Source organism: Homo sapiens, chromosome 6 (assembly GCF_000001405.40).
Source record: "Homo sapiens chromosome 6, GRCh38.p14 Primary Assembly".
NCBI classification, from domain to species: domain Eukaryota; kingdom Metazoa; phylum Chordata; class Mammalia; order Primates; family Hominidae; genus Homo; species Homo sapiens.
Window position 1 is genome coordinate 110,669,302 of NC_000006.12, and position 12,887 is coordinate 110,682,188.

The 12,887-nt window shown below is 39.1% G+C and overlaps 1 protein-coding gene across 15 annotated transcripts in view; it reads right to left on the minus strand.

Moving 5' to 3' along the window:
• CDK19 (cyclin dependent kinase 19) overlaps window positions 1-12,887 on the minus strand; it is a 205,878-nt gene that overhangs the window by 59,324 nt on the left and 133,667 nt on the right. For 13 of the 15 annotated variants that reach the window (NM_001300964.2, XM_011535630.3, XM_024446376.2 and 10 more), the window contains one exon: window positions 1,130-1,240. The exons of the other annotated variants lie outside the window; for them this stretch is intronic. In NM_001300964.2, the coding sequence (NP_001287893.1) occupies window positions 1,130-1,240 (111 nt within the window). The remainder of the gene's footprint in view (window positions 1-1,129; window positions 1,241-12,887) is intronic. 15 annotated transcript variants of the gene reach the window in all.

A 12,887-nucleotide genomic window follows, 5' to 3' on the forward strand; every position in this document is an offset into this window, starting at 1 on the left:
AAACCACATTATATTAAATCAAAATTTATTAGTCAGGTGTGGTCATGCACCTGTGGTCCCAGCTACTTGGAAGGCTGAGGCAGGAGGATCGCTTGAGCCCAGGAGGTCAAAGGTGCAGTGAACCATAACTGTGCCATTGCACTCCAGCCTGGGTGATAGAGCGAGACCCTGTCTCAAACAAACAAACAAACAAAAAAGGCTGGGTGTGATGGCTCATGCCTATAATCTCAACAGTTTGAGAGGCCAAAGTAGGAAAATCACTTGAGCCCAGGAGTTCAAGACCAGCTTGTGCAAGGTGGCAAGACCTTGTCTCTATAAAACATTTTTGAAAAATTAGCCAGGCATAGTGGTGCTAAATTAATTATCCATAATTTTAACTTAGTGCCAGATTTGAAGTTTGTTACTTTTAGCAGTTCCTCAGATAAAGTGTTTAAATGTTCTGATTCCTAATTTGAAAAGACAGGAATTAGAATTTTTTGCTTCTTTCATACGTTGATAAAAACATCCTTAAAGCAATCTTCACTATACATATTAGTAAACTGCCATTAATTACTTGCATAAAAGTATAGTCTCCCGCCAGGCATGGTGGCTCACGCCTGTAATTCCAGCACTTTGGGAGGCCGAGGTGAGCAGATTACCTGAGGTTGGGAGTTCGAGACCAGCCTGACCAACATGGAGAAACCCCGTCTCTACTAAAAATACAAAATTAGCCAGGCATGGTGGTGCATGCCTATAATCCCAGCTACTAAAGAGGCTGAGGCAGGAGAATCGCTTGAACCTGGGAGGCAGAGGTTGCAGTGAGCCAAGATCGTGCCACTGCACTCCAGCCTGGGCAACAAGAGCAAAACTCCCTTCCCCGTTCGTCTCCCCCGGGCCAAAAAAAGTATAGTCTCCCATTCATTAAAATCTTTCTGAAGTAAAATTTCTAAATATTACAAATACTATCTTCTCAGTAAAATGTGAGTTTATTGCTTAAATTCTTCAAAATCAACATTTATGTTTATATTGACTTTGAAATATGGCTAACAGAGCAAGCTTTCCTTTCTGTGCATTAACAATATGTATTTTATATAAATATGCTCCATACCTATATAAAACAATCCTAGAAATACAGTGAGATTATACTTACCCACAAGTCATGCTCTGCATAATCAAACAGCAGCCATACCTTCCTGTCACTGTGAGAAAGGAACACCTTCTGCAATGCAATCACATTAGGGTGCTTCAATTCTCGCAAAAGCTGAATGCAAAAGAAAGAGAGGGGTCACTGTTGTGTTAGCAAGGAGGGGGAAATGATGAATGTCTTATAACTTCAAAACGAAATTTCTGAAAATCTAGAGAATCCAGGTAAGCAAAATGAAAGAAAAAAATACCACCCAAAATACTGGCATTCAGAGATAAGCTCTGTCAATATCTTGGTGCATATCTTTCCAATCCTTTTTCTATGTGCTTAGGTATATCTGTTTTGTTTTGTTTTACTTTCTTTCTTGTCAGAGACTGCAAGCAGGAATGTGTTTTTAAAAATAGGATTTTAAATGGTAAAATGTAAAACAGCAAACAAAAGTAATATCATATCATTAAATAATTAATTACATTTTTGTACATGCATATCTTTTTTACTAAAGAAACTGTTCCTTGGGAGGCAGGACTCATGTATTAATACTGCTTATATCTACCCTAGCACTGTATTGGTGCTCAAGAAACAGGCGACAAAACAAGGAAAGATATTTAACAATCCCTGTACTTATCCATCCCTAGAGTATGTGGTTGAGGGTTTTTTTTTGAAGAGTAGTGAGTATAAGGGAATGACTGTCATGCCCACTTATAAAAACTGAAGTTGAGAACAGGTCCTGTAAACAGAAAAAAAGAAATAGGACTTCACAAAGTAAAAGCTTTAAGCTGGACTCTGACGATATGTAGGAAAGATAGACCAGAGCAGCAAGCAGAAACAGCACTTTGCGCATAACAGACAGCTGTTTGATAAAATATTTAGCAACAATGACATTATTGCTCAAGGTAAAAGCCTTAGAAATATGCCTCCCTCAGGCTGTCCTTAAACAGGGTTCAGATTTCACAGGTAAAGAGAAACATATTCAATTTAATAAATATTTTGAATACCTTTTAAATGTAAAGCTCTGTGAAAGATGCAAAAAGGGAAAGACAAAACTTCCCTTGAATATTTTATATGTGCAAGATGATTATATACAAATGTTTTTCTCTCACTTAATCTTTAGAACAATTTTATGATGCACACAGAACCCAAGGCTCAGTGTGATAAAAATAACATGACCAAAGTCAAATAGCTAGAAAGAGAAGGGGTTTGGACTTAAATAGATCTGCCTGATTGCAAAGTCCATGCTTTTTCCACTACAGCTAAAGTTCATGTCTTCAATTCCCACAATGTGGTAAGGAAGACAGACATATAAATAGATCAATGAGGCAGAGAAAAATAAACTGCTTACCCATTCTAATAACTTTAGTAACTTTTTTTTTTTAGACAGTGTCTTGCTCTGTTGCCCAGGCTGGAATGCAATGGCACAATCTCAGCTCACTGCAACCTCCGCCTCCAAGGTTCAAGCAATTCTCCTGCCTCAACCTCCTGAGTAGCTGGGATTACAGGTACGCACCACCATGCCCGGCTAATTTTTGTATTTTTAGTAGAGATAGGGTTTTACCATGTTGGCCAGGCTGGTCTCAAACTGCTGACCTCAAGTGATCTGCCCACCTTGGCCTCCCAAAATCTAGAGAGTTTGCCATTTTGAACACTTCAGGATCTCTGGCTCTGGCAAACCCTGTTTTTAATGACCCCATTGCTATGGCCAGCCTTGAAGCACTTACACTGTGGCAAGAGACTTCACCCCAGGCACAATGACTGTCTCCTTCTTTCTGACTCCTTGATATTGATGAACGTAGAGAGTTTGCCTTTATTACCTATGCAAAATATGTTCTCTTTGCAGCCTGAAGTAGATGGGAAAGTAGAACTCCACTTCCGCATCTAAACCAGGCTCTTGAAACACCCAACACTGGCACAGATCCCTGATTCCTGGACCTCACTTGTCTGGGAAAGTGGTTGTCACAGTAGCAATATTTAATCAACACTTCTAAAAAACTACATTTTCTGTGACTTCCAATTGTTGATCCCACTAGAATAAATTCATTTTAAGTCCTGTGTTAAAAAATTTGTTTTGACTAGATAATACATTCATATGGTTCAAAAATCAAAGTATATACAAGGTTATATATTGAAATGTCTCACTACCACTCCTCTTGCTTCCCTGGAGGTAACAACTTTTATTAATTGCTTATTTTCCTTGCAATGTTTCTTAATGCAAATAAAAACAAATATGAATATATATTTTATCCTCCATTGTTTACACAAAAGATAGCATAATATACACACTGTTCTGCACTTTGTTTGTTTTCTTACCCTTACTCTATCTTGGAAATCTCTTAATATTAGGACAATATCAATATTAGAAATACTTCCTTCAGGTGAGAAGTGATTTGGCATAAAAGAAAAATTTTTTTAAAGAAAAAAATAAAAATAATATTTCTTGTTCTTTTTTACAGTAGCATGGTATTTCTAGATCACCTCTTTTAATGTGGTAAAATATATACATAATGTAAAATTTACCATTTCAACCATTTTTAAGTATACTAGATATACTTAGTATATTTACTTAATCCCACTACTTATACTAGTTCAATGGGATTAAGTACAACCATCATCACTGTGTATTTCCAGAACTTTTTCATCCCAAAATGAAAATCTATACCATTAAATAATATCTCCAGGTTGCCCCCTACCCCCAGCTCCTGATAACCATTATCTAATTTATGTCTCTATGAATTTGACTGTTCTTGGTATGTAGCTCATATAAGTGGAACCATACAGTGTCTGCCCACTTGTGTCTGCCTTTTTTTCACACAATATAATGTCTTCAAGGTTCATTTGTGTTGTAGCATGTATGAGAATTTCATTCCTATTTAAAGCTGAATACTATTACATCGTATGTATAGACCATATTTCGTTTGTCCATTTGCCCCTCAACAGACATTTAGGGTGTTCTACCTTTTGGTTATTATGAATAATGTTCTCTATATATTGGTGTATAAATAACTATTTGAATCCCCACTTTCAATTCCTTTGTATATATACCCAGAAGTGAAATTGCTAGATCCTATGGTAACTCTATGTTTAATTTTTTGAGGAACCACCATATAGGTCATTTTTGTAAAAAAAAAAAAACTTTTTTTGTAGAGATAGAGTCTCACTACGTTGTCCAGGCTGGTGGAACAGCTGGTGGGTGAGGCAATCAGAATACACACAACATTTATAGATTAAGTTTGCCATTAATATTAGGACAATATCAATATTAGAAATACTTCCTTCAGGTGAGAAGTGATTTGGTATAAAAGAAAAATTTTTTTAAAGAAAAAAATAAAAATAATATTTCTTGTTCTTTTTTACAGTAGCATGGTATTTCTAGATCACCTCTTTTAATGTGGTCTCGAACTCCTGGCCTTAAGCAATCCTCCCACTTCAGCCTCCCAAAGTGCTGGGATTACAAGGTGTAAACCACTGTGCCTGGCCTAGGTCTCCTTTCCATATGTCATACAGATAGTTACTTCGTTGCTTCACAGATACTGTGTTTTTCCCAAGTAGAAGGTTTGTGGCAACCCTGCATCAACCAAGTCTACTGGCACCATTTTTCCAACAGCATGAAGCTCACTTAATGTCTCTGTGTCACATTTTGGTAATTCTTACAACATTTAAAACTTTTTCAGTATTATATCTGTTACAGTGATCAGTGATCTTTCATGTTACTATTGTAATTGTTTTGAAGCATCACAAATTGCACCCACATAAGATGGCAAACTTAATCTATAAATGTTGTGTGTATTCTGATTGCCTCACCCACCAGCTGTTCCCCCATCTTTCTCCCTCTCTTCGGGCCTCTCTATTGTCTGAGAAACAGTAATATTGAAATCAGGCCAACTAATAAAACTACAATGGCCTCCAACTGTTCAAGTGAAAGGAAGAATCTCACATATCTCTTGCTTTAAATCAAAAGCTAGAATGATTGAGCTTACTGAGGAAGGCACACTGAAAGTTCAAACAGGCTGAAAGCTAGGCCTCTTGCACCAGTTAGCCAAGTTGTGAATGCAAAGAAAAAGTTCTTGAAGGAAATTAAAAGTTCTACTCTGTTGAACACACAAAGATAAGAAAGCAAAACAGCCTTATTGTGGATAGGGAGAAAGTTTTAGTGATCTGGATAGAAGATTAAACTAGCTGCAACATTACCTTAAGACAAAGCTGGCTGGGCGAGGTGGCTCACGCCTATAATCCCAGCACTTTGGGAGGCCAAAGTAGGTGGATCACGAGGTCAGGAGTTCAAGACCAGCCCGACCAACATGGTGAAACCCCGTCTCTACTAAAAATAGAAAAAATTAGCTGGGCGTAGTGGCAGGTACCTGTAATGCTAGCTACTCGAGAGGCTGAGGCAGGAGAATCACTTGAACCCAGGAGGCAGAGGTTGCAGTGAGCTGAGATTATGCCAATGTACTCCAGCCCGGGCGACACAGCGAGACTCTGTCTCAAAAAAAAAAAAAAAAGACAAAGCCTAATCCAGAACAAGGCCCTAATTCTCTTCAATGTGTGAAGGCTGAGAGAGGTGGGGAAGCTGCAGAAGAAAAGGCTGAAGCTAACAGAGGTTGGTTCATGAGGCTTAAGGAGAGAAGTCACCTCTATAACATAAAAGTGCAAGGTGATACAGCAAGTTATCCAAAAGATCTAGCTAAGATCATTGATGAAGATGGCTACACTAAACAACAGATGTTCAATGTAGACAAAAGAGAATTCTATTGGAAACAGATTCCGTGTAGGACTTTCATAGCTAGAGAGAAGTCAACGCCTGGTTTCAAAGCTTCAAAGGACAGGCTGACTATCTTACTAGGGTTTAACGCAACTGGTGATTTGAAGTTGAAGCCAATGCTCATTTACCATTCTGAAAATCCTAGGACCCTTAAGAATTATGCTAAATGGCCGGGTACAGTGGCTCACGCCTGTAATCCCAGCACTTTGAGAGGCCGAGGCAGGTGAATCACCTGAGGTCGGGAGTTCGAGACCAGCCTGACCAACATGGAGAAATCCTGCCTCTACGAAAAATACAAAACTAGCCGGGTGTGGTGGCGCATGCCTGTAATCCCAGCTACTCAGGAGGCTGAGGCAGGAGAATCACTTGAACCTGGGAGGCGGAAGTTGTGGTGAGCCAAGATCGTGCCATTGCACTCCAGCCTGGGCAACAAGAATGAGACTCCATCTCAAAAAAAAAAAAAAAAAAAAAAGAATTATGCTAAATCTACTCTACCTGTGCTCCATAAATGTAACAACAAAGCCTAGATGACAGTGCATCTGTTGACAGCATGGCTTACCGAACATTTTAAGCCCACTATTCGGACTGACTACCTAGAAAAAAGATTCCTTTCAAAAGATTACTGCTCATTAACAATGCACCTGGTCACCCAAAAGCTCTGATTGAGATGTACAAGGAGATTAATGCTGCTTTCCTGTTTGCTAACACAACATCCATTCTGCAGCCCGTGAATCAAGAAGTCATTTTGACTTCCAAGTCTTATTCTTTAACAAATACATTTCATGAAGCTATAGCTGCCATAGATTGTGATTTCTCGGATGGATCTGGGCAAAGTAAATTGAAAACCTTGTAGAGAGGATTCACCATTCTAGATGCCATTAAAAACATTCATGATTCCTTCAAGGAGGTCAAGGCATCAACATTAACAGGAATGTGGAAAAAGTTGATTCCAACCCTCATGGATAATTTTGAGGAGTTCAAGGTATCAGTGGAGGAAGTAAATGAGATGTGGTAGCAATAACAAGAGAACAACAATTAGAAGTAGAGCTTGAGGATTAACTGAATTTCTGCCATCTCATGATCAAACAGGTTTGGATAAGGAGTTGCTTCTTATGGATGGGCAAAGAAAGTGATTTCCTAAGATGGAATCTACTCCTGGTGAAGATGCTGTAAACACCACTGAAGTAACAACAAATAATTTGGAATATTACATAAACTTAGTTGGTAAAGTAGTGGCAGGGTTTGAGAGGACTGACTCAAATTTTGAAAGAAGTTCTAATATGGGTAAAATGCTATCAAATAGCATTGCATGTTACAGAGAAATCTTTCAAGAAAGGAAGAGTTCATTGATGCAGCAAACTGTATTATTGTCTTACTTTAAGAAATTGCCACCCCAGCCTTCAGTAACCACCACTCTAATCAGTTAGCAGCCATCAATACTGAGGCAAGACCATCCACCAGCAAAAAGATTATGACTCACTGAAGGCTTAGATAATCATTAGCACCTTTTAGCAATAATGTATTTTTTAATTAAGATATATACATTTTTATACATAATGCTACTGGACACTTATAGCAGTGTATATTTATACTGTAAACTATAGTATAATAAATATGACTTCACTGGGAAACCAAAAACTTTGAGTGACTTGCTTTATTACAATATTTGCTTTACTGCAGTGGTCTGGAACCAAACTTGCAATATCTCTAAAGTCTGCCTGTGTAAGAGGGAAGAGTGTAAAGTTTATAACTACATGCATTTACTAGAAATTCTTCCCTAATCCCCAAATTTGCATTTTCTAGAGCGTCAATATGCACTTTCTATTTCTGTGTACCTCTTATGCTTTTTCTACCCTATGGGTTTCTATAAGTCACTAAATATCAACATGAAGGCCGACTGAGGCAAAGAAATAGCAAACTAATGTTACCTATATCTATTTTGTTACTTCTTCTAATTCACCTTTCACTCTGCAGCCAGGAGTGATATTTCAAAAATCCTTAACTGATCATCTGTCACTATGAACAGGTCTAAGGAATCAAAGCAAGAGATGAGGCAAAGACCATATAAAAGGAGCCTTGTAAGCCATGCAGAAGTGTCACCATTGGCAGGGCGCGGTGGCTCATGCCTGTAATCCCAGCACTTTGGGAGGCCAAGGCGGGTGGATCACGAGGTCAGGAGATCGAGACCATTCTGGCTAACATGGTGAAACCCCGTCTCTATTAAAAATACAAAAAAAAATTAGCTGGGCGTGGTGGTGGGCACCTGTAGTCCCAGCTACTCCAGAGGCTGAGGCAGGAGAATGGCATGAACCTGGGAGGCGGAGCTTGCAGTGAGCCGAGATCGCGCCACTGCACTCCAGCCTGGGAAGCAGAGAGAGACCCCATCTCAACATAAAAAAAAAAAAAAAAAAAGGAAGAAGAAGAAGAAGTGTCACCATTGAGGTTCTCTAGTATCACTGGCAACATGGTAGGGTAAATGGGTCAGTGGAGAAGCCAGCTGTTAGAAAAGGTACCACCCTTTGATTACCTTCTGTACATGTTTTATGACTCTCAGATTTGGCCTCACTGAATTATATTAGAGTATCTTTCAATGTTTTAACTGTTTGCATCTCTCCCCTGCCCTCCTCCTGCATTAGACCATAAGGTTCTTGAAGACAAATACAATTTTTACTTACTAACTTATTTATTTTGAGACAAGATCTCACTTTGTCTCCTAGGCTGGAGTACAGTGGCACGATCATAGCTCACTGCAGCCTCAAACTCCTGGGCTCAAGCCATCCTCCTGCCTTAGCTTCAGTAGCTGAGACTACAGCTGTGAGCCACCATGCCCAGCTGATTTTTTTATTTTTTTGTAGAAATGGGGTATCACTTTGTTGTCCAGGCTAGTCTTGAGCTTCTGGCTTCAAGTGATCCTCCTGCCTCGGCCTCCCAACATGTTAGGATTCCAGGTGTGAGCCACCACACTAGCCCAGAAAGACATTTTAAAATTTATTTCTATATTCCTAGGGACTAGCACAATGCCTGACACATTGAAAGAGCTCTTTAAGTGATCTCATCTAGTCTGCGGGCTTTAAATGTCACCCATATGCATTAACTCCCAAATGTTTACCTCTAGTCCACCCATCTCCCCTGAACACCAGCTATGTGTATCCAGCTGCCTCAAGAGCTCCATTTGAATGTCTAAAAGCCAAAACTGAGGTTGCGCTCTCTACCTCCACTACCCTCTATTCCAGTACCTCCAGTACCTCTATTCCCACTGCTCTTCCCTCGCCTCAGTTAATAGCAACTCCATCATTGCAGTTATTCAGGCAAAAACCTCATCTACTTTAACTCTTTTCCCAAATATCTCCTCCTCAGTGAGTCTTCCCTAGCCTTTCTATTTAAAATCGCAACCACCATTCTGCACTTTATCTTTCTGCAAGTACTAACACTTTCAAACATACCATAACTCTATATCCCTTATCTACAATTCTAAAGAAACTGTAGAAAATCAAAAGCTTTCTAGTAACTCAGGTAGAAAAATTATTTGTAATTCAATAGAAAAAAATGCATTGTTAGGGGCACATCCTTTCAGTTACCTGATTCTGATTCTAGAGAAGCTATTTTACAACTCTGTACATTACACATAACTGATAACGATGCAGAATAATTCTCAACTATAAGCATACAAATTATGTGCTGTCCGGTAGAGGTTCACTGACTTCCCTCCCCAATAGTGGAAGAAGCTGGTTTTGCCTCAATTTGCATATCCATTTCAATATTCCTGATCTGTACACGTACCTGTTTTAAAGTTTCTCCTTTGAATGGGCTATAATACCAGCTTGGTTCCTTCATTCAAAAAGTTAAATAAGCTGGATGTAGTGGCTCACACTTGTAATTCCAGCACTTTGGGAGGCCAAGGCAGGAGGACCACTCAAGGCCAGGAGTTTGAGACTAGTCTGGTCACACAGCAAGAGCCCTATCTCTACAAAAAAATAAATTAAATTAAATTATCCAGGCATGGTGGTGCAGGCCTGTAGTCCCAGCTACTAGGGAGGCTGAGGTACGAGGACTGCTTGAGCCCACGAGTTCAAGGCTGCAGTGAGTTATGATCGTACCACTGCCCTCCAGCCTGGGTGACAGAGTGAGACCCTGTCTCTAAAAAAAAAAAAAAGTCCAGGTACAGTGGCTCATGCCTGTAATCCCAGCACTTGGGGAGGCCAAAGAGGGCAGATCACCTGAGGTCAGGAGTTTGAGACCAGACTGGCCAACATGGTGAAACACCATCTCTACTAAAATACAAAAATTAGCCAGGCGTGGTGGTGGGTGCCTATAATCCTAGCTACTCAGGAGGCCGAGGCAGGAGAATCCCTTGAACCTGGGAGGCGGAGGTTGCAGTGAGCCAAGATCACACCATTGCACTCCAGCCTGAGCAACAAGAGCAAAACTGTCTCTAAAAACATAAAAAATTTTTTTAAAAAAAGAAAGTTAAATAAAATCATTAAAATGTGTTCATCTTATACCTGTATAACAGTCATAATTTTACCTTTTTTGAAAACAATCATTTAATACTCATTGTACAGAAATATGTCACTTAAACTGACAAGAAGCTGTTTATTGTCTGACATGAAGCTATTAAATGGACATGAAACTGTTTATATGTTATTTATTGTCTGTCTCTCTCCACTAACATATAAGCTCCATGAAGGCAAAGGTATTTGTTGACTTTATATCTCCAATGCATAAAATGGTACCTAGCACATAATAAGCATTCAATAAATATTTGTCAAATAAATTAAATCTACTCAACCGGTTCTTACTCACAAAATAACCAGTAATGGCCTGTAACCTAATAAAACTTTGCTACCCTTTCATAAGTTATTCTTTTTCAAAAGGTGTTTTAAATGATTTTGTTTTCAACAAATTGAATAGACAATATCTAAAATAATTATTCCAGGGACGCTAAGCCTCCACAAGCTCCATTTACTTTAGGCTTAAAAAGGAAGACTTCTTTAAATTAGCACCTACTCTACCAGAAGAATAAGAGTGCTGGCTTGAGGTAAAGAGCAGCAACACAGCTCTGAATATCTCAGGATGGGATCTTTAACCTGGTGTATAATTCGAAGAGCAAAGGAGTGCTATGAGGGTATTTCCTGAAAGGGCTGTGAGCACAATAAGTGCTACAAAATCCTAAAGAAAATAACACAAAGGAACAGGGGACACAGGGGAACACAAGTGAAGCAGATATTAACCTTATTAGTAGTTATGTCCAAGGCCAGTTTACTAAGAAAATGCTAGGCTCTAGATAAACATCACACAAGAGTGTATTCACTACCTCTGTTTACTGAAAAAAACAAAGAAGTTAACTTTCCTACTGTTGTTTACTGAAAGAAACAAATGAACAACAACAGTAAACAACCTAAATGTTCAATAATAAGAAAACTGATAAGTAAATTATGGTAAATAGCCACATATTGTAGCCTCAAATATATATACTAAAATATTTTAATTACTCGAGGAAAGACTATAACGTTGTGATATAATGTAAAAGGACCACAGGCTGGGTGCAGTGGCTCACACCTGTTATCCCAGCACTTTGGGAGGCCGAGGTGGACAGATCACTTGAAGCCAGGAGTTCGAGGCCAGCCTGGACAACATGGCAAAACCCCGTCCCTACTAAAAATACAAAAATTAGCCACGTGTGGTGGTATATGCCTGTAATCCCAGCTACTCAGGAGGCTGAGGCAGGAGAATCACTTGAACCTGGGAAGCAGAAGTTGCAGTGAGCAGAGATCGTCCCACTGCACTCCAGCCTGGGCAACAGAGTGAGACTCTGTCTCAAAATAAATAAATAAATAAAATAAAATAAAATATAAAGAGATATAAATAACAGAAAATGGGCTGGGCGTGGTGGCTCACACCTGTAATGCCAGCAGTCTGGGAGGCCGAAGCAGGCAGATCACTTGATGTCTTGAGATCAGGAGTTCACGACTGGCCTGGCCAACACGATGAAACCCCGTCTCTACTAAAAATACAAAAATCAGCCGAGCGTGGTACCGCATGCCTGTAGTCCCAGCTACTCGAGAGACTAAGGCAGGACAATCGCTTGAACCCGGGAGACAGAGGTTGCAGTGAGCCAAGATCGCACCACTGCACTTCAGCCTGGGCACCAGAGTGAGACTCTGTCTCAAAAAAACAAAAAACAAACAGAAATATGCCAAAACATTAACAATAGTTATTTCTGGGTGTGAGATTATGCATAATTTATATTTCTATTTTTTCTATTTTACAAGTTTTCTTCAATGAGCATTACTCTTATAATTTAAAAACAAATACATACACACACCAGAAGACAGAACTTTCCAGAAATCCACCTACCAAAATAAGACACTATCATACTATCTCAGCTTCTTTTTACATGGTTATCTGAGAAGGGACACAGTGAAAGGAGATGGCCATACTTGTACTTTCCCCATCTCTTGGCAAAATCAGATTTTACCAACGGACTTTAATCTCTTGTCTAACAAATGTTTGTTCAACATGACATCATACAACTACAAATACGTGTAATCATACTTAAACAGCAATTAAGTAGACCATTATTTTCCTGTGTCTCATATTATATGATAACATCTTCCATGCCAGATACTCACAGCATAGTAACATGATCCCACTGGAGCCTAATGAAGAATGTTCAATGAACATGCCAATATTTTATCTGAGCTCCTTTCAAAGCATGTAAGTAGCTATTTTTAAAGTGTCCACTTTTCACTGTCCTAAATGTAAAATAATCTACAGTTAGAATTCTAAACTTTCTCTAGATCCTGACTCAATTTAGAGAGTCTGTACTAGACTAAAAATTCCAGAATCCATTCGTATTTTTATGTATACATCTTTCTTCCCTTTTCACTTTCTGTTCTCCAAGTCTATGATGCCCTCATGGGTCCCTGACTCCTTTTTCAAGGGCATTCTGAATGGAAAGATCCTCTTATACTTCAATTACTCACTTATCTCAAAGTAAATCCAATTTTC